The sequence below is a fragment of the Homo sapiens genome, chromosome 1, assembly GCF_000001405.40.
Source record: "Homo sapiens chromosome 1, GRCh38.p14 Primary Assembly".
In the NCBI taxonomy this organism is placed as follows: domain Eukaryota; kingdom Metazoa; phylum Chordata; class Mammalia; order Primates; family Hominidae; genus Homo; species Homo sapiens.
This window is the reverse complement of record NC_000001.11, coordinates 179,330,134-179,352,725: the sequence shown is the minus strand read 5'-3', so window position 1 is coordinate 179,352,725 and position 22,592 is coordinate 179,330,134. Positions and strand designations below refer to the sequence as shown.

The 22,592-nt window shown below is 39.3% G+C and overlaps 1 protein-coding gene across 8 annotated transcripts in view; it reads right to left on the bottom strand.

Annotated features, from left to right (window-relative positions):
• Window positions 1-22,592, bottom strand: part of SOAT1 (sterol O-acyltransferase 1) — a 64,884-nt gene that overhangs the window by 5,955 nt on the left and 36,337 nt on the right. For 6 of the 8 annotated variants that reach the window (XM_011509911.2, NM_003101.6, NM_001252511.2 and 3 more), the window contains 12 exons: window positions 17,069-17,220; window positions 14,830-14,889; window positions 13,181-13,288; window positions 11,416-11,698; window positions 10,534-10,612; window positions 9,783-9,864; window positions 9,091-9,136; window positions 7,650-7,779; window positions 5,029-5,126; window positions 3,784-3,882; window positions 2,295-2,430; window positions 1,264-1,409 (listed from right to left, as the gene is read on the bottom strand). In XM_011509911.2, the coding sequence (XP_011508213.1) occupies window positions 1,264-1,409; window positions 2,295-2,430; window positions 3,784-3,882; window positions 5,029-5,126; window positions 7,650-7,779; window positions 9,091-9,136; window positions 9,783-9,864; window positions 10,534-10,612; window positions 11,416-11,698; window positions 13,181-13,288; window positions 14,830-14,889; window positions 17,069-17,220 (1,419 nt within the window). Of the gene's footprint in view, window positions 1-1,263; window positions 1,410-2,294; window positions 2,431-3,783; window positions 3,883-5,028; window positions 5,127-7,649; window positions 7,780-9,090; window positions 9,137-9,782; window positions 9,865-10,533; window positions 10,717-11,415; window positions 11,699-13,180; window positions 13,289-14,829; window positions 14,890-17,068; window positions 17,221-22,592 lie in introns of those variants that run through there. The other 2 variants (NR_045530.2, XM_011509912.2) reach the window with 2 other exon arrangements.

Here is a 22,592-nt window from a genome sequence, read left to right as displayed (position 1 = left end):
GTTACAGATGCCTATGAGAAATACCCAGGAAATAAATCAAGAAGGTATCCCCTCCAAACCTGGAAGGTTGTAGGGATTGAATGAATTATTAGTAGGGCCACCAAATTTAGCAAATACAAGTACAGGATGCCGAGATGAACTTGAGACAAATAGCTCTATCTGCCATATTTTTTGTAATTTACTGAAAAAAGCAGAATATAGGACATTTGGGGTGTTCTAAGAAACCCAATACAGGAGGCAGGACAAAAATGTTAAATATAGGACACGCCCTATATGCACAAAAAGCCTGGCAATCCTACTTCTTAGGGTGTTTCCATCATGAAATTCTATCCATAACTATAAGCAGTACTTTCAGCTAGTGCTAGTAGATCTAATTAACCAGATCACATCAATTAAATTAACCAGAGTGTTTGCTGGGAAATTCCTATGTCCTATACTGTGTTACTTGAAAATAAAATTCTTAAAAAAAAAAAAAGCCATCCTCCTAAAATCTGTACCCATGTATAGCTAAAAACTAAAGTCCTAAGAATAAATGAAACCTGAATTACCAAAAACAAAAATAGAATCAAGAGAAATGGAAGGATCTCAGTGTTGCCCAATATTTTTACAAGAGTTTATTTAGAAGAAAGAGGTTTAAAAAAAAAAAAAGGTATGTTTTAGGTGGTGGTAGTAGGGACATACATGGCATTAGGAAAACCCTGGAGAATACTTAGAAGGGGCTGGCTGAGCACGGTGGCTCCAGCACTCTGGGAGGCCGAGGTGGGCGGATCATGAGGTCAGGAGATCAAGACCATCCTGGCTAACATGGTGAAACCCCATCTCTACTAAAAATACAAAAATTTAGCGGGCATGGTGGCATGCTCCTGCAATCCCAGCTACTCGGGAGGCTGAGGAAGGAGAATCACTTGAATCCGGGAGGCAGAGGTTGCAGTGAGCTGAGATTGCACCACTGCACTCCAGCCTGGGCGACAGAGTGAGACTCTGTCTCAAAAAAAAAAAAAAAATTAGAAGGGGCTGAAGAAAAGGCAGTAAAAGAAGAAAACCAAAAGCTAGGAGAGTTAAATGTGAAGAAAACTAAACAAAAGGAAAAACTTCAAGTACAATAAGATCAGATGATAAACTAATGCTTTTACTCCTCATTTCCCTCTCTTTAACACTAATTCATCATAATCTCCACTACTGTGCTCCTCAACATTGCCCACCAACTCTCACAAACAGAGAATAAACAGGTTCTTTTGCACTCCAACCAGGTTGGTGACTCACATTTTTCAGAGGACAGTGCTGACGTGCATACCATTCTTGAGAATAAAAGCAGAGTAAGACTCCATTGCCCAAGAAAAGAGAAGTCCACATCAGAACATTCCAAATCGGCTTTTTCCGACTATCATTGACAATGAAGTTGAAAGCCACTAAAAATAGGAAGGCAACAAAGAAATATACAGTTATCAGAGGTCAGAAGTTCGAGACCAGCCTGGCCAACATGGTGAAACCCCATCTCTATTAAAAATACAAAAATTAGCCAGGCGTGGTGGTGTGTGCCTGTAATCCCAGCCACTCGGGAGGCTGAGGCAGGAGAATCACTTGAAGCAGGGAGGCAGAGGTTGCAGTGAGCTGAGATCATACCACTGCTCTCCAGCCTGGGTCACAGGAGTGAAACTCTGTCTCAAAAAAAAAAAAAAAAAAAAAAAAAAAAAAAAAAAAAAAGAAAGAAATATACAGGTATCAAAACATAATTTATCAGAAGATGAGGGACCTCAGGTATCTGCTGTTATTTAATAATCACAGTGAGCAACAACTGTTTATATATTTTTTTATTCTGGTCACTGTTTCTATAAAGAAAAATAAAGCTTCAGTGTTAAAATCAGTAACTTACAAGAAATCAGTGTTTTCAGAACATGTGTATATATATTTCATGGAATTAGAATATTCATATTCCAACTTTTCCCTCTCTACTCACTCAAAAACTTGTCAGTTTTCTAGGGGGTGCATACCGACAATGTTTACGAATGGGAAAGCTGTTTATATAGATAACTTTTATGACCTATCAAATCAGTGTTATCAATGGTCTTCATGAGGTTACCTAGTTCATTTCCCTACTTCAAAGTGTAAATATCTTGAGACAGAGCTGTGTATAATTATTCAAAGTCAATATTCTGACCATCTGATAAAGAAGTACTACCTTAAAATGTTACTACTACTATCTAGTTCTCCTACATTGATTTTATAGTTTCCTTTCTATCTGGTTTTCTTTTTTAGCATAGTACCCAGTACTCACAGCATACCAAGATACTTACTTCCAAAGAACATGAAGAGCACGAAGAGCACGGGATAGAAAAAGCTCAAGCAAACAGCCAAGGCATATTCGTGTACTACAGCAGATACAGCAAAGACAGCTAACATGGCAGCAGATTTGAATCTCTTGGAGAAAAACTAAAGAAAAAGGAAAACACTACAAAGTAATTTTTAAAAATTTAAAGCAAGCATGGATTATATAGGATGTAAAATTATATGCCAAAGGCACCTATTGTATTTGTACTTAATTTTCTAAGTCTACTCCTTGGATTAATCCAAGTCTATTAAAATAACTACAAATCATATACACTTACAAACTCTTATTATTGTTCAAATATCTGAGTCTATTTTCAAAAATATCAATAACTTATGTTTGTAAGTTATTACAACTGACAAAACATAGTTTTCCTATATAAATGAAACATATTGAATTTCAGTCTTTAGAGTAACACTGTATGGTAGATGGGGCAACTGTCCTCTCCATTTTTACACATAACAAAACTAAGATTTCAGAAGGAGAAAAGGGACTTGCCTTATCCGTATGTGAAACTACACTTGAATGACAGAATTAGCACTCAAATATTAATACAATGCTATTTCCACCATAAGATGCTGTCACTAAGCCAAATGGTGCCCTCACTTAATAAAAACTGTAATCTAGATACCTGTTTATCAACCAGGAGATTCAAGATTACATCTCATCAGTCTAAGTATATTCTGCTCTAAAGAATGTCTCAAAGCCAGGTGTCACTGATTGGAGAGATACAAAATCCACACAAAAGTGTTTCTCACAGAAAAGTGTTTCTCACCCGGGCACGGTGGCTCATGCTTGTAATCCCAGCACTTTGGGAGGCTGAGGCGGGCGGATCACCTAAGGTCGGGAGTTCAAGATGAGCCTGACCAACATGGAGAAACACCATCTCTACTAAAAATAGAAAATTAGCTGGGCGTGGTGGTGCATGCCTGTAATCCCAGCTACTTGGGAGGCTGAGGCAGGAGAATCGCTTGAACCCGGGAGGAGGAGGTTGCAGTGAGCCGACAACATGCCACTGCACTCCAGCCTGGGCAACAAGAGCGAAACTCTCTCAAAAAAAAAAAAAAAAAGTGTTTCTCTACCTTTAACCATGAAAAACGAATGAAAAAGACCAAAGGGAGATTATTTGTTGGCAACAAGACTCATAAGAAACTATCCATTATTGGTGGATCATTTCAACTCCAACAACCTCCATGCATTCTTACTTTGTTATGTAAGATAAAATTCAGAGCAAAAGACACAGTATTAGACCTACTAGTGTACACACAGTGGTTTCTAAGCAGTACCATTCAAAGCAGGTTTCTAGATGTAAATTTCTCAAAAGAAAACTGAAAAGATACTATCACCCTTTCCTCATGAGCAATTAAATATAACTTCTTCCAGCTGTATAATACTCATACTTTCTGAAAAAGAATCTCCATTTCATAAATAATATCAACTTAAACCTTGCTACTTACCCAGAGAAAGTCCTTGTAAGCATAGTAATATAGCCAGTCATGGACCACCACATTCCAGGTTCTATAATAGTTGGAGTATGACGTGGAGTTCCACCAATCCTGAGGGAAAAAGTAAAGGTATAAAACTACACACACACACACACACACACACACACACACACACACACACACACACACACACATCCCACCCGAAAGCAAACCCCCCTGACTTCCCAAAGAACATATGTAACAGAAAAATCAAATTATACTGTGATAAACTGTTGGTTCATACACTGGTGACAGAAAAATCTTCAAAGGCATTTTGGTTATTAGTGTTGAATATGACATGAATTCTCATACTATATATGATTTAGTTCCTAGGTTCATACGGAACACATAGAATCATTTAAATCTAATGTTCATCTAAACAGCAATCAGTAAGCCCCACCCCCCTTACCCTACTAGAATGTCATGAGAAAATTCTATGGTCATGAAGACCAGAGAGAGTGCTAACACTAGAGAGCTGTTTGGTGGTTACCATAAATGGCAAAATTATCCAGGGTGAGATGGTGGCTACCTCAAAGTCCTGGTATCCCTATATATGCTTCTTGCTCCCAATATTAAGATCAGATGAATGAAATCAGGTATCTAAAATCTGCAATCCACACTTAAAGTTTCTTTGAGAAAAAAGGTGGTAGACTTGGAGTGTTGCCAAAAACAACTCAAAGAGAGCTTTAGGTAGGGTTAAAGAATGCTATGAGCCATTCTGACTCTAATTCTATAGCTTAATTCCAACTTTAGAAGCATAAGGATACTATCTGAAGCAAAATTAACACCTTTCAAAACTAAAGAGGGAAAAGTTATTTCCCTCATGAACTGCTCAATTGTCTTAAATGGAATAATTTGCTGAGGTCATTCCTACAGAACTAGACGGTCCATTTCAAATGAATGAACACTCAGGGAAGTCTCATGGTGTGCTCTGAACAAACAGTTTCCTACTGGAATCACCAATATATCCTTGCAGGATCCAGCAGAAACCATGTGCTTATGTTAAGGGAGCAGATATTAGAGACAGAAGAAAACACAAGGTTATGCTAGTTATATCTGTAACCGAATTTCAGAAAATACTGGCAAAACTTGTAGAAAAGAAAATTATTTCACAATGTTTGTGTGAAAGGCTGGTGACATTAGCCAACAATGTCAAAATACTAATAATGAAGAAGTTAATAAAATGTAAAAAGAAAGCTAAGTCTAAGTATATACTACCTTATAGAACATCCTGTCACCAAAGCGTAACATCTCAGCAAAGGCATTGAGCCAGCAGTGCAAAAAGGCAAAAAAAGTAAGGAAGAGAATCAGCACACCTAAAAATAAGATTAACAATATTAACAGTCTTTCCAAATAGCTCACATACCAAGCAACTAATTATATCACATCATTTTATTTAGCTGGGATTATTTTGTAAAATATAAGTTATTATTCCAGTTTACCCATTCCAGAGATGATATACTTTTGGAGTTAATTATCTTAATTTTAAAACAGTAACTTCCTTCAAAGTGGGTTCAACAAATGACATTACCCAGTCTGGTTTTTTTTTTTCTTTTTTGAGACAGAGTCCTGCTCTGTCACCCAGGCTGGAGTGCAGTGGCGCGATCTCGGCTCACTGCAACCTCTGCCTCCAGGGTTCAAGCAATTCTCCTGCCTCAGCCTCCCAAGTAGCTGGAACTACAGGCATGTACCACCACATCTGGCTAATTTTTTGTATTTTTAGTAGAGACCGGGTTTCACCATGTTGGCCAGGCAGGTCTCAATCTCCTGACCTTGTGATCTGCCCACCTCAGCCTCCCGAAGTGCTAGGATTACAGGCGTGAGCCATCGCGCCCAGCCTACCCAGTCTGTTTTTAAGAAATGCCTAAATATATGGCTTAACTTAGTACCCAAGGTCCTTTAAAAATCTGGCCCCCATACCCCCCTCTTAAACAATTGTTTAAAACTGGGAGAGATTTTGCCCCCTCTCCCCCACAGGACATTTGAAATTCTAGAGACTTTTTGTTTTTAAAAGACAGGGTTTCACTATGTTGCCCAGGCTGAACTTCAACTCCTGGGGCTCAAGTGATCCTCCCACCTCAGCCTCCAGAATAGCTGGGACTACCGGTGCAAGCTACTGCACCAGTGCTGTGACAATTGGAGGAGAGGGAGTGGTGCCACTGGTATCTAGTTGTTAGAGGCCAGGATGCTGCTGAACAGTTTATGCTACAATGCAGAAGAATGCCACTCCAAACAAAGAATTAACCAGTCCAAAATGTTAATAGTGACATGGTTAACATAGTGACATGGATAACATTCTAAACATATCTCCAGTGATTCTACCCTCTAAGTGTTGTAAACATTATCCACAACTGGGTTTATGCCATTCCAGAATGCTCCATGCCCTTGCATCCATCCCACTACCTAGAATGACCTTTCCACCAATTCTCTGCCAGGCAAATACCTACCTATTTTTCAATACCCAATATTAAATGTTATCTCTAATGTGAAACAAAGGCCATAAGCATTTTGTTTATCCTACTTATGTAGTACATATTACAATATATTGTAAAATATCCATTTATATGTCCATCTCTTTCACTCATTTATTGAAAAATATATATTTATAGAGCATCAACTATGTACCAGACAATATGAGAGAGACTGTGATTGGCTATAAAACACAATCCTTGAACTCAATAACTTTGCAGCTAGTGAGGAAGACACTCAAGTATGTAACACATATTCTATTTTAGGGACAGATACAGAGTTCATTCAAATAAGTCCTGGGGCTGGTGAGGGAGGGTTACTGGAAGAGGAATGCAAGAGAAGAAAAGAAAGGGAAGGTGATGACAGAAAACATTACCAACATTCAATGAGTAAAGAAAAGAGGAAAAGTAAGGGAAACTATAAAAGCTCCCAGACTGTAAAGATAATACATCTCTTGTTCACTTCTGAGTCCTCTGCACCTGGCATAGTACTAGGTACTCATATATCTCTATAATAGACAAAAAAATGCAATAAATATATTTAAGAAATCAAGGTATGGTCGGAAAGACAGGAGGAAAATAAGAAATAGTGGCAAAAGGCCAAGCATGGTGGCTCAAGCCTGTAACCCCAGCACTTTGAGAGGCTGAGACAGGAGGATAACTTGAGCCCAGGAGTTTGAGAATGGCCTGGGCAACATAGGGAGACCCCGTCTCTCCAAAAAATAAAAACTTAGCCAGGCATGGTGGCATGCACCTGTAGTCCCAGCTACTGAGGCGAGAGGATCACTCGAGCCCCAGAGGTCGAGGCTAGTAAGCCATGATGACACCACTGCATTCAGACTGGGTGACAAAGAGAGACCCGATTTCAAAAAAAAAAAAGGCAAGAAAACAGTGACAAGAGAGATTTAAAAATGTGGTCAGCAGCACCCAATGCTTCATGGAGGTCAACTTGGATAAGGGGTAAAGTACATCTTAATCCATCCACTGGATTAGAATATGGATTACTAGTAATTTCTACAAGTAATTTCTACAAGTTACTAGTAATTTCAACAAGGGGCATTTAAGTGGCTTGGTGGAATCAGGAGCAAGATTACAATGAACTTAATAGCGAACAGGAAGACACAGCATGAATGTGGACTGTCCACTGTCAGAGAAAGGCACAACTTGAGTGAAAGCCATAAGATGAAAGACTGACCTGAGACTGGATGAAGGATACTTCATTTATAAAGTAGATGCAAAAGAGGTCAAGATGGGCATAGATGTATAGAAGTTTAGATGAAAAAGTAGGCAAAGCAAAGGTGCTCATAGGCAATAGCTTTCTATTTACCTCGTGAATTTATGCATGACCAAATTAACAAGTACCCATGTTACCTGGCAAGATGGAGTTAAATACACATAGGACCAGAACACGAGCGCTGAAGGGCTCCTGTTTGATATTCCGAAACAAGGGGGCACAAAGCCTTTCAAAGATGTAGTACACATAGAAAAAGCAACCAAAGACCTGGAACATAACAGAGACAGAATTATAATAACGATGGCTTAATAAGATGGAAGGCGATTTTTTTCTCTCCAAAAGAAAGTACAGATGTGACCCTTACAGTAATGTTCGCATATGTATTCCATTTAACACTAGTATAGAAGACTGCTATAATCCTTCAGGGAGATTACTCAAGCCTAGTTTCTACCATCACTTTTCCTAACCCTTTACCAAATGATATTTTTAGAAGAGCTTACTCTTGGAACCTGTTTTCCTGCTGCTTAAAACCCGTAACATGGCCGGGCACAGTGGCTCACGCTTGTAATCCCAGCACTTTGGGAGGCTGAGGCGGGTGGATGACTTGAGGTCAGAGTTCGAGACCAGCCTGGCCAACATGGTGAAACCCCATCTGTACTAAAAATACAAAAATTAGCCAGGCGCAGTGGTGGGCACCTGTAATCCCAGCTACTCAGGAGGCTGATGCAGGAGAATCGTTTGAACACAGGAGGTAGAGGTTGCAGTGAGCCAAGACTGCATCACTGCACTCCAGCATCGGTAACAGAGCAGGACTCCTTCTCAAAAAAAAAAAAAAAAAAAAAAAAAAAAAAAAAAAAAAACCCCTTAATGAAAGAACTTACTTCATAAATGGGCATTTGATTGAGACACTAATTTAAAATGGGATCTTCCAGGATTAATGATTCTGATGGAGGTGGGAGGAGGAATGGGTAAGAGTCAGACTATACCCACATACATATATACCTCCCCCAAAAACAGGAAGGAAGGGGGAAATTAATGCTTACTGAAATAACCAATTAGAATTACTTTATAAATAATACATTCTTTTTTTTTTTAGATGGAGTCTTGCTCTGTCGCCCAGGCTGGAGTGCAGAGGAGTGATCTCAGCTCACTGTAACCTCCATATCCCAGGTTCAAGCAATTCTCCTGCCTCAGCCTCCTGAGTAGCTGAGATTACAGGTACGTGCCTCCACGCCAGGCTAATTTTTGTATTTTTAGTAGAGATGGGGTTTCACCATGTTGGCCAGGCTGGTCTTGAACTCCTGACCTCGCGATCTGCCCACCTAGGCCTCCCAAAGTGCTGGGATTACAGGCGCAAGCCACTGCGCCCAGCCTAATATATTCTTTTATTAAAGAAAATTACTTTTGATGTTGGCAAAACAAACACCATTTACCGTACTGGAAATAGTTTAAAAGACTGCATAATGTCAACAGAAAGCATTCTTAGCTCCCAATTAGATTTAACTAGATTATATTATTATCATAAATATGAATCCCCATCCCCTAATCAACATACCTTAGGCAGTTACAAAAACTTACCTGTGCAAACTTCATAGCGACATAACCCCATCTTACAGTGGGATTCCTGAAAAAGAAAGAAACAAAAATAAGGTTTCTAAATAAAGTAATTGAACTTGAATAAAGACCCTCACAATTAATGTTTTTTGGTCAGGCGCGGTGGCTCACACCTGTAATCCAAGCACTTTGGAAGGCAGTGACCAGGAGTTCGAGACCAGCCTGGCCAATATGGTGAAACCCCGTCTCTAATAAAAATACAAAAAAACCAACCGGGCGTGGTGGCACACACCTGTAATGCCAGCTACTTGGGATGCTGAGGCAGGAGAATCACTTGAACCCAGGAGGCAGAGGTTGCAGGGAGCCGACATAGCACCACTGCACTCCTGGGTGACAGAGCAAGACTCCCATCTCAGAAAAAACTAAAATTAATTAATTAATAAAAAATAAATTAAAAATAATAAAAATAAATAAAAATTAATTAATTCAGAACATCATTTATGACCATATGAAATACTTTATAATTCTGTCAAGAATTACTATAATCAAATTAGACTTCCCTACTCACCATTTGAGGCTTCTCAGGTCAGACAGAAAATGAAAACTCATTCTATATTTTCTATGTCCCTACATGAACTGGCCCCTGTTTACCTATCCCACCTCACTCATGCCACACTTTTGGTGTTTACCACATTTCTGGTTCACAGTACCATTACCTGGGATAGCTGTCACGGTAGATAAGGGTAGGAGCAAATAAGAAGTACAAATACTGGTTGACTGTAGGTATTGGAACAGTGCCTAGAAAAGGAAAACTATAGTTAGAGCAAAGGCTCTTTGATTTTTCACAGCAAAAATACAGGGGGGAATATAAGGAAGCACAGAACAGGGAAGAATAAAATGACTTATCAGCTCATGTTCTTTTTTCCTGATCTCCGGAATGACTTCTTATTCTTGCACGAATTGAATATTACCAATCTCTTTAAACCAAGTTATTCCTGTGACTGAGATAACTTCTAGAGTGTGAAGCAACAATTTGCAAAGAATAGGCAGGCACAGGTGTAATGAGGCTATTAACATTCCATAAAAATAATGCAAAGTTGCAAAAGATAATCAATTTTTTAAAATTGTAGGTTCAAGGGCAAAGCCGGAATAGTCAGGAAACAATGAAGTGGTCCTCAAAATCAATATGGATAATATATATTTGAAATAAAACACAATCTCTACATTATATAATGTGACATCCCAGAAAACAACAAAGGGTGAAATATCCAGCCAATAATCCTTTAAACTAATGAAATTACACAAAGAAAAGAAAAGAAAAAGAGAGAGAGAGAGAAAGAGAAAGAGAAAAAGAGAGAGGGAGGGAGGGAAGGAAAGAAGGAAAGAAGGGAAGGGAAGGGAAGGGAATGGGGTGGGGGGAGAGGAGGGGAGGGGAGGAAGAAATAATGAACAAAAGAAATTACATACTTGATTTCTCCTTAGCTGAATTTAGTACCCGAGGCACGTTCTCTCTGACAAATGAGTGGGCCTTCATTACAAAACGAATCTACAAAAGCAGGAGGAAAAAGATGTCTCTTCAAAGAAAGTCTCCTGCAAGTGTCCTTTCCATTAGTCAAATGCATTATAGATAGCCAGTAAAGTCAGAAAATCCTGATAAGTGTATAAACAAATTAAAATAAAACCTTTATTATATAGTTACATGACAAAACAATGAATCTGACATTTCAAAAGTGAAGTTTTTAATTATGAAAATATTTTATAATTTAAATGACTTTTACAAAAAGTATTCAGAAACAAAATCTTGATGCATCAAAAATAATTCAATGTGGCCGGGCGCGGTGGCTTACGCCTGTAATCTCAGCACTTTGGGAGGCCGAGGCAGGCGGATCGTAAGGTCAGGAGTTTGAGACCAGTCTAGCCAATATGGTGAAACCCCATCTCTACTAAAAATACAAAAATTAGCCGGGTGTGGTGGCAGGCGCCTGCAGTCCCAGCCACTTGGGAGGCTGAGGCAGAAGAATCACTTGAACCTGGGAGGCAGGGGTTGCAGTGAGCCGAGATGGTGCCACTGCACTCCAGCCTAGGTGACAGAGCGAGACTCTGTCTCAAAAAAAAAAAAAAAAGTTCAACGTAATTTATTTATCAAAATTCAGAGAACATGGAAGCTACAATGAAACTTAAGAGGTGAGATGATTCTAGTTTAACAATTTTACAGATAATGGCAAAAGAACAATATATGAAAATTTATCCAAGTTAATACAGCTAAAAATAATAGTATCAGTATGTCATCATCATTATTATTATTTTAGCCGAGGACAGCATCGCCTTGGGTAACACTTAAAACCTTACCTGCTCGAATATAATGATGAACCGGGAAGCTGGTGGCAGTGTATATGCTAACACAACATATGTTGGTCCAAAACCTAGAACTCCAATCTGGAAGATCATGAAAAGAAAGCCATGGAAGAGAGAACGGATCAGCGGATGAGAACTCTTGCTATAGCCAGTGGCCCAATGTTGAAACAGAAAATAGGGAACTGAAAATGTAGACAGGAACATGATCCACCAGGTCCAAACAACGGTAGGAAATTTGCCAAAAGCATAAGACAGGAGGCTGAACTCAAGCACCAGCCTGGGGAGAAAAGGTACAGAAAAAGAACATAGAGGTGAATTTTTAATATACACTGAGTTCACAGAATTTAAAAGTTTCAAACACCAAACTTTCAACCTTAGGAAACACCACAACGTTAATACGCTGAAGTCATGGATGTAATAGTTCTGCTAGTTAGAGATCTGCTTCTAACCATCTGCTTTACAATATATATATATATATATATATCAACAATATATGTTCTTTAGAAACAAATTTTCTAAAAGCCCTAAGATAAATACAGTCTTCAAACTTAAGATATCTAAGATAATTGGACTTTGAACTTCTGAAAGATTAGATTCTCACATTAATTTTCTAACTGTAAAATATTCTATGGAAAATATTCAAACAGCAATCGTTCTTATGTACAAAAGATGATTTTTCAGAAGAAATAGGTACAATTTAAAAATATGTTAATATACTATACCATTATCTCCAAACTTAATTTTCAAAAAAAGTACATAATTCAATCCATGATTACCACGCTGTCATTTTTTAAGCTACAATTTGAGTTTTAAAATTTTATTTTGAGATCTGGTCTCCTTTGCATCCAGGCTGGAGTGCAGTGGCACAAACACAGCTCCACTGCAGCCTCAACCTCCCTGGCTCAAGCGATCCTCCTATCTCAGCCTCCTGAGTAGCTGGAACTACAAGTGTCTGCCACCACGCCCAGCTAATTTTTAAATTTTTTGTAGAGATGTTGCCCAGGCTGGTCTCCAACTCCTAAGCTCAAGTGATCCTCCCGCCTCGGCCTCCCAAAGTGCTGAGATTACAGGCACAAGCAACCATGCCTGGCCTATAATTTGACTTTCACATTAAAAAGAAATATCAACTTTTTCAACCTTCAATTCCAATAAGCTACTTGTTTTAAGTAACCATCTTAAATAAAGACAATCAAAAAGTTAATAAGTCATATACAGTTATCCCTCCCTATACATGGGGGGTTGGTTCCAGGAAACTGTGCAGACACCAAAACTTATGCAAATTCGAGGCCCACAGTTGGCCCCGTGGAACCCACAGATATGAAAAATCTGCCATTCTTATATGTGTGTTTTGCATCCTGGAATACTCTAGATCCCAATCAGCCTTTGCTTGCAGATGTAGAACCCATGGATACAGAGTGCTAAACACATTGATTGAAAAAATTCTGTGTATAAATAGACATGCACAGTTCAAACCCGTGCTGTTCGTAGGTCAACTGTGTATAAAGTTCTCCCATTTGGGAAAATTACCTAGAAATTACTGATTATGGTCTATTCAAATAAACCATTTTAAAAATAAAAGTAATGAAACTTCTAATTTTCTCCATCAGTTAAACTTTTCAGGGCAAAGGAATATCACCCTCAAATCTGCTGCTTTAGGATTTCCTGAAGCAATTTAATCAATTTACCCTTTACCAAAATTTAGTGAAAACCTCTAACTTCTCATGCATCAACTAGCCAGCCATCTTTTTTGTTGTCTTACCTTCCTTCATCAATGTAATCTACTACAAGTGTGCTGAGGATAAAGAGAATGAGGAGGGCAATAAACATGTGATATATTGTTCTGATGTGGTCCACTTCAAGCAGTTCACTGTAAATGTAGTTCAAACAAAACAAGTTAATAATGTATATTTAAATTTAAAACACCATAAAATCTTTTCTTAAAGCAGTTAACTTAAAGCAGTTGAGAAGATGCTTAATCCACTCTCCAAAAACATCTCAAAAAAGAATGGTCTACATTCTTTAAAACCTACCAGAAATGGATGTTTTCTAAGTAAACAAAGGCCAGTCACTAAAAACAGGAAACAAACTATTTCAAATGTTAAGAATTTTTTAATCCTATTCATATTCTACTCCCTAAATTTAATATATATTAAGTACTACCTATTTCCAAAATGTTAAAATTGACATGAGTTTCTATAATGTTGATCATGATGATGATGATAACCAATTACTACCCTACACGTCTATAAAACTCAACCATTTACAAAGATTTTACCTTCTCATTGACTTTTGTATTTAAGACTGGTCTAATTTTCTTTTAGAATATAACAATAATATAGATGACTTTTCCTAAATAATCTTTTATATCTGACTAAAACAGGTTTTTAAACTTGTTTTAACTTGTTTTTGGAAAGATAATGCTAATCTTTTAAATGATTTTGAGTAATCTAATATACTACTACTCAATCTCTGGACCAAGGATCTTCACAGTCTAATAAAAACTCATCTAAGCCATAGAAAACATGTTTTGTTTCCTTGGTTAAAAATTTTTTTAATATGTAATTTTGTTTATTTTTCATGTATAAATTCTATCATTAAAATCCTAATTATAATGTTTAAAATAAATTTTCTTTTCCCTTTTATGTGAAAAGCCTGCGTTTTCCCCCAGATGTAAACTTTAAAAGATTAATTCCTTCAAACTACAGTGTAACAGAACACTTAACACTATACATTACATGCTTAGAAAACACTGAACAGCACATTACATGCTTAGAAAACCGGCCTTCTTATCTAGGGGAAGTAGTAAACATCAACTTGACTCACAGAAAGTAACTTTTGATAAGCATAAGATGTCTTTTTAAAGAAAAGTACACTTTTTTTTATTGAGACAGCCTTGCTCTGTCACCCAGGCTGGAGTTGCTGGGTGTTGCACCTGGTGCTCAGGCTGGAGTGCAGGGGCACAATCTCAGCCCATGGCAACCTCCACCCTTCCGGGCTCAAGCGATCCTCCTGTCTCAGACTCTTGAGTAGCTGGGATTACAGGCATGCACCACCAAGCCTGGCTAATTTTTTGTATTTTTTGTAGAGAGAGACTTGCCGTGTTGCCCAAACTGGTCTTGAACTCCTGGACTCAAGCGATCTGCCTGTCTCAGCCTCCCAAAGTGCTAGGATTACAGGTGTGAGTCACAGTGCCAAGCCCAGATAACCATTCTTATCCCTAACTCCTCTTTTGAAACTAGATACAGAACCAAAAGATCAGAAAGGAGCAAGAGAGAGCATAGAAGAAAAAAACCCACTAATGATTTATACAGATACAGAACTCATTACATGTCCATATACTAAGCAATGATTCTATCAGAATAGTTTTTTAAAAATCAAACATATTTAAAAACAACTAAAAATACTCACTCTAAGAGAGAGCGCCTTGCAATAAAAATCTTTCCTTGTTCTGGAGGTGCTCTCAAATCCCTGAGAAGAGGAAAAATTAAAACAAGATATAAGTACTTCAAGTATTATAAGAAATCTAATCCCACAGACAAGAGAATATACCAATAACACCATCTAACATTAATTGACCAATGACCTTTTCACTACTAGGATTACAGATGCCCGCCACCATGCCCAGCTAAAACAGATCCAAATATTGTGTTACAGTTTTATGTATGTTACTTCATTTACCCTCTCTGTGAGGCAGGTACATACACAACTCTTAAGAAGGGAAAGCTCGCCACACCCAGCCCCTATGGACTTTGGCAATCACTTTTCCTTCTTGTAGAGAATGGCAAGGTCGCCACACTCAGCCCCTATGGACTTTGGCAATCACTTTTCCTTCTTGTAGAGATCCCCTAAGGTCATAAACAGGCCTCTAAGCACACTCTACTCCAGGTCATATATACTGTTACTGATCTGTCCTCTGAAACTGCACTGATGTTTACCATACCCTTCCTGATATCAAGGGACTTCCAGCAACTCCCAACAGCCTCCTGATCTTAAAGGTTGCTGCAAGTTACTAAAAACTCCCATTTTAACATCTTGCTTATCTTCTTTAGGGCTTTTCGTACTACTACCAGCACTTAACTATAATTGGTCAAAACTATTCTCCAGAACATCAGTCTATGCCTCCAAACAGGGGCATAAAACTGAGAAGAGCATGGAATGGCAAGTTAACACATATTAGCCTTTGATAGCCTTCACTCGATTATTCTGGATGAACCATCAATTAGAAAAGTATATACTAATCGCATTGTACTTTATTACAACAATTGTATAGCAAATAGAGAGGCACGTAATGATATGATTTTTTTTTTTTTTTGAGTCAGTCTCACTCTGTCACCCAGGCTGAAGTGCAGTGGCGTGATCTCAGCTCACTGCAACCTCCTTCCCCCGGGTTTGAGTGATTCTCCTGCCTCAGCCTCCCGAGTAGCTGGGATTATAGGCACTTGCCATGGCACCCGGCTAATTTTTGTATTTTTAGTAGAGACGGGGTTTCACCATCTTGGCCAGGCTGGTCTTGAACTTCTGACCTCGTGATCCACCTGCCTTGGTCTCCCAAAGTGCTGGGATTACAGGCGTGAGCCACCATGCCCAGCCATTATATGATTAAGAGCAAGGACTCTAGAGCTAGACTCTAGGTTCAAATCCCTGCTATGTAATTTTGGACATTTAATTAAGTACTCTGTGCTTTAGTTTCCTAATCTGTAACATGCGGATAGCTACAGTTATCTGTCTCATAGGATCACTGTTTGGTTTAAATGAATTCATCATGTAGAGCACTCAGCAAGTGTTGGCTATGTTGTTTTATTAGTCAGTATTTTTTTTTTTTTTTTTTTTTTTTGGAGACAGGGTCTCTGTTGCCCAGGCTGGAGTGCAGTGGCATGATCTTGGCTCACTACAACCTCTGCCTCCCAGGTTCAAGCGATTCTCATGCCTCAGTCTCCTGAGCAGCTGGGACGACAGGCGGACGACAGGCGTGCACGACCACGTCCAGCTAATTGTTGTATTTTTGGTAGAGATGGGGTTTCACCCTGTTGGCCAGGCTGGTCTCAAACAACTGACCTCAAGTGATCCACCCGCCTCGCCCTCCCAAAGTGCTGAGATTACAGGTATGAGCCACCACACCTGACCTTATTAGTCAGTCTTTTTTTTTTTTTTTGGAGACAGAGTCTCTCTCTGGAGTGCAGTGGCATGATCTCTGCTCACTGCAACCCCCGCCTCCTAGGTTCAAGCGATCCTCATGCCTCAGCCTCCTGAGTAGCAGCAATTACAGACGCCCGCCACCACGCCCGGCTAAATTTTGTATTTTTAGTAGAGACAAATGGTTAAATAACCATGTTGGCCAGGCTAATCTTGAACTCCTGACCTCAGGTGTTCCACCTGCCTCAGCTTTCCAAAGTGCTGGGATTACAGGCGTGAGCCACTGTGCCCGGCATTAGTGTTAAAAGAGGTATGCATGTATGTTATAATTTATATGTAAAGACAAAGAAATCCCCATCCTCCTTCAAATGGTTAAGTAACTTTCCCAATGTAACACACAGCCAATAGAAAGTGACACCAGGGTGTGAACTCAAGCATATTTGCCGCAGTCCATTTTCACCATTGAACTATACTGAGTAGATGTTTGCATTAAAAGAAAATAGCACATACTTACTTCGCTCTATGGTTGTTTTTCTCTCCTTCAAGAACAGAAAAGGTTGTGAGAGCGCACCCACCATTATCTAATGATGCTGACTTTTCAATGAGATTGGTCACAAAATCATCAAAGTGACTGCCAACTTCCTTCATAAAAAATGGCTTCAATTCCTAGAATTTTAAAACAAAGAAAAAGATGGGGAACTAATACATGCTTGTGAGTCATTAGCATTTCTCTAAAGGGCTCCCTTAAACAGAGCTGGATCAAAAGAAAGACATAGTGAGTTCGCAGGAGTAAAAGCAAAAAATCAATTCCTGTATCTGACTTGAAGTTTCAGAAACAGCTACCTAAAAGGCAACATAGTGATTTATACCCTTTTAAAATGTATACCCCTTGTAAGCATAAAACAAAATACCTCAGCCTCCCAAGTAGCTAGGATCACAGGTGTGCGCCACCACTGCCGGCAAATATTTTATTTTTTGTAGAGATAGGGTCTCCCTATGTTGCCCAAGCTGAACTCTAGGGCTCAAGCAATCTTCCCGCCTCAGCTTCCCAAAATGTTAGAATTACAGGCAGGCGGCACTGTGCCTTATCCCCACGTTATAATTACCATGATTCTAAGTTCTCTTTTTTCTTTCTTTTTTTTTTTTTTTTTTTTTTGAGATGGAGTTTTCCTCTTGTTGCCTAGGCTGGAGTGCAATGGCACGATCTCGGCTCACCGCAACCTCCGCCTCCTGGGTTCAAGTGATTCTCCTGCCTCAGATTCCCGAGTAGCTGGGATTACAGGCATGCGCCACCACACCTGGCTAATTTTGTATTTTTCGTAGAGACAGGGTTTCTCCATGTTGGTCAGGCTGGTCTCCAACTCCCAACCTCAGGTGATCCGCCCACCTCAGCCTCCCAAAGTGCTGGGATTACAGGCACAAGCCACCGCACCTGGCCCAGTATTGTAAATTTCTTTCACAATCTCCCTCATCTATGACCCCAACCTCTGACACCTCAGACGGTACAGAATGTCACTTATAAGGTAACTATTTTAATATGATCAATTCATGTATTTTCTTTTCTTGAAGTAACATTCATATGTGAGTAGTTTAGGTATCCATATGCGAGACAAAATAACAAACCACAAAAAAAGCCATATTTACTCATTTCTGCTTGCCAACACAATTTCACAAAGTTCTTGACTCTATGATGATACACAGCTTTCCAAATACTTTTAAGACAAAATAAAACACACACTCCCCCCACATATCTTGCCTAAGTCACTATATTCCTTGAAGATAATAACCTTGCCTTTTCCTATAAATGACAGTTAGTAATTACACTTCTATAATCTATAACCAAATATACTCTTACACCAAACCTTAACATATTCTACTCTAATATAACTTCTAACTTCTAAACAAACGTAACATAATTTTACATATGCGAAACCCCCACCACCTATACATAAACAGTAGACTAAAATACAGTGCCAGAAAAGGCTAACAAAACCTCTCTAAAAGACTACTCCCAGGCAGCAGGCTCTGTCTACAGTTCTCAATAAGACTTCTAAATACAATAACTTTAATTCTTAAAAAGCTTTTCTTTAGTTGACAATCACAGCGACTATGAAGGGGCTCAAGAATAGACTGCCCAGGGTCATCTAGAGCATTGCAAGGAACTGCAGCCTTGGTATAGCACAGGCCCCTTGAGCCCCTCTGGCTCCGCCATGGTTGCAGCCGACTGGGTGAGCTTCTGACCTCCCATTTGGTTGACAGTCCTGAATATTATTCAGCTAGCTGCTTTCACCACTTGACAAAAAATGAGTTCTTCCTTGAAACTTTTTTTTTTTTTTTTGAGACGGAGTTTCACTCTTATTGCCCAGGCTAGAGGGCAACGGCATGATACTAGCTCACCGCAACCTCCACCTCCCAGGTTCAAGCAATTCTCTTGCCTTAGCCTCCCAAGTAGCTAGGATTATAGGTATGCACCACCACACCCAGCCCATTTTGTACTTTTAGTAGAGACGGGGTTTCTCCATGGTGGTCAGGCTGGTCTCGAACCTCAGGTGATTCGCCCGCCTCGGCCTCCCAAAGTGCTGGGATTACAGACGTGAGCCACCGTGCCCCGCCTGAAACTTTTACCTTTTTAAATAGAGATGTGGTCTCACTATGTTGGCCAGACTGGTCTTGAACTCCTGGCCTCAAGTGATCCGCCCACCTCAGCCTCCCAAAGTGCTGGGATTACAGGTGTGAGCCACTGTGCCCAGCCAAGACTTTGTTTTTTTTTTTTTAGAAGAGGAATATCCTAGTTAAAAGATACTATGAAGAAAAAGATATGTGAGGCTGTCTGATTGGCCAGGTTGTACAGGTGTTTTCCCTTTCAATTTGATTCTATAAATGAAGCTCGGCAGGATAGAAACTATTACACATGGATAACGGTCTGGAACTGAAAACACACAGGATAGCACCTGACACAGTTGTCACTCTCCAGGTATTCATTGTTCCAACCTCTCCCCCTCAGTCTGAGCTAACCTATGAGGAACAATAAAACAATGTACAATAAAAATTGTAATTTAAGCAAATCCTATCATTTAGTCCTTTTATTGTTAAAAGGTAACTAAACCTACCACATTCCTTTACATGGCATTATAATTACATGCCTAATGTTCATTTCCTAATGCCCTTCTCCTCTTTCTCTGAGGAATTAAAGTTGATAGAAGGTGCTGCCACTGGGGCACAAGGAAGAAAGAACTCTGCTCTGTGGACGCTTACATTTCCTGAATCTCCTCCTTTCACAGATCCTAGCAGTGATGACAATAACGAGTAACTGCTTATTATTGTTACTCCCTTTGTAAGAGGGAATATTAAGAAATATAGTACAAGAAACAGTCCACTTCTGCCTTCTGACTTCTATCACATGAAACTTGTTAATTAGAACTCAGTATGTGATCACTAATAAATCTGAATAATGTCTGGTATCAGTAACCTGAAAATAATGTTGAGGTTATAGTCTTTCTAATTTGCTTATCTTTTCAATCTCGTATCTACTGATATTAATTTCATGCAGCCAGTGGACTCTGACAGCCCTAGCACCATGACAGATGGATGGAGAGAAGGAAGGAAGGGAGAAGCGGCAGAAGGGAGGAGGCAGTTAACTAGGAACTAAAAAAGGTGCTTTTTTAGGTAATCTAGTAAACTACATTTTTAGAGCTTAAGGAAACCTTTTGTATTAAATAAGCAGCTGAATTAGATAACCTCTAAGATTCCAAGAATAGGGATCAACCATAATACAAAGACCCTATGGTTGGAACACATAGTTAAAGGAACAGATGATAATGATCAGAGATAAGGCTGGAAAAGCAAGTAGGGACTAGATCATGGACCTTTAAGCCATTTTAAGAATTTTTTATCCTAAAGACATCTGGAAGCCAATGACATTTTAAGCACAAGATTTGTAAACATGTTCAGATTTGCATCTTAGAAAGATAACTCTTCTACCTAAAAAGGCTTCCAGGCAGAGATTACTTTGGACTGAGTATTACAATGAAAAAAGGTCAGGGTCATTTATGGGTAAATAACTCTTTCAAAGGTACAGAGACATAAAACAATCTTAAAGTATGCTGAAAGAAAAAAACAAAGTAAACCAATCAGTAAATAATAATATTTTCAGTGTCTCAAAAAAAAAGTAGGTCCCTTGATCACAATTTCTTCATAAATGGTTTTAAAGAACATTAACTCCACAAGGTCATATATTGCTAGTCTAAAAATTATTTCTTCCTCTGATTTGCTGCCTGTCTTTGCACAGAGAATCTTTTAATCTTGGTGGCATGGTACCAGAAACCTGACCTTTCTGAGCAAAACAAGTAACACAATGGAACAGGTAATACAGTGCTTAGGACTTACACTAAATTGACTCCTCAGAAAGGTCTCCTGATAATTCACTCTAAAGTTCTTTCTATTCTCTCTTACTGAATCTCATTCTTTTCCTTCATTGCACTTACTTGAAATTCTATATATTCAAGTGTATATGCTCTTTGGCATCTCACTGTCTGCCCCCCACCCAACTGATTTTAAACGATGTATCTTTTTGTTAACTGATAATTTTGTATTTTTAGTAGAGACGGGGTTTCACAGTGTTGCCCAGGCTGGTCTCGAACTCCTGGCCTCAAATGATCTGCCTGCCTTGGCCTCCCAAAGTGCTGGGTTTACAGGCGTGAGCCACTGTGCCTGGCCAAAGAACATTTTTAAGGTATCTAATTAAGTCACTGTTCCCCTTGCTCATGCATTTTGCATATAGTGTTCTCAGTTAGCATGAGAACAGAAAACACAACTTCTTTAAAATCCCAGCACTTAATGTAGTACCTGATAGACAAAGAAACCAAGCAGGCATTCATTAAATTGAACTGCTAAACATTCGAGGGCAACAGGACAGGTACCTGTCTACCTTTTGTAAGTGATGAAATCATAAAGCACAATAAACTGACTTTCACAAAATTATTCAAAATAGACTAGAGATTCTTACACTCGTGCATTTAAATGAGAAAAGGCAGAAAGGAAAATATCAGAAAAATGTATAGTCACACTTGCATAGCAAAAAGGTGAAATTTGACCAGTAGATTGGGACAGCAAAGAAAAATGGACAGCCATAGTAGAAACTGTTATTTGTCAACCCTATCAGTGCCTACCCCCTTTCTTAGTACTAGAATCCCTGATTTCTATCTGGGCACATGACTGCTTAGAGTAAATAAGTTTCCCAGTCTCTCTTTGCACCTAGGTAGCCAATGAGATACAGGTGGAAATGATTTGTCAAAGTCCACAGAAAATTTCCTTAACAGACACAGATACCTGTTCCTTACCCCCACTCCTTTCCTTCCCTCAATTTGGCCACTTGGAACTCAGACAAAATGACTAGAGCCATGTGGGCAATAAGGAGGACCACAGCCTATGAATGTGAAACTGCCTTTGCAAAGACTACGACAGTGAGAAACGTCTACCATGTCTGACTCCATCATGCTTCTAGCCTCACAGGCTGGCCATCCTTGCTCATTCCTGAGCAGAGGCCAATCTAACTCTGGGAGAAATTCATAGTTCAACTTTGATGTAAATAGTCCCTCCCCAAAATTGACCCCCTTCCTTGTTGGGAACTGAAACCACCTTTGTAAGACTAAAGAAAGGCCACAAGATTAGGATTATGGGAGGGACCTGAATTCTGCTAAAACGTAGGCACAGCTTGCCTTTCTATAATAGTTTACTGTACCCAAAGTCACAAGATTTGTGACTTCCCCAACCGCTCCTATGGAGAACATCACTATTATAGAACCTAAGATTGGTCTTCTGAGATGTTTTTCTGATCTTTGAATTCTGGCGACTGACCAGCTTGCCCCCTAAACCCATGACTGGTCCTGTGACCCCCACCCAGAGGCTGACTCTGCGCATGAGAACTGTCTTCCACACCCTTATGATTTCAACCCCAACTAATCAGCAGCATCCACTCCCTAGGTCCCCTGCCTGCCAACTTACCATAAAAACCCTAGCCTCTGAGTTCTCAGCAGCTG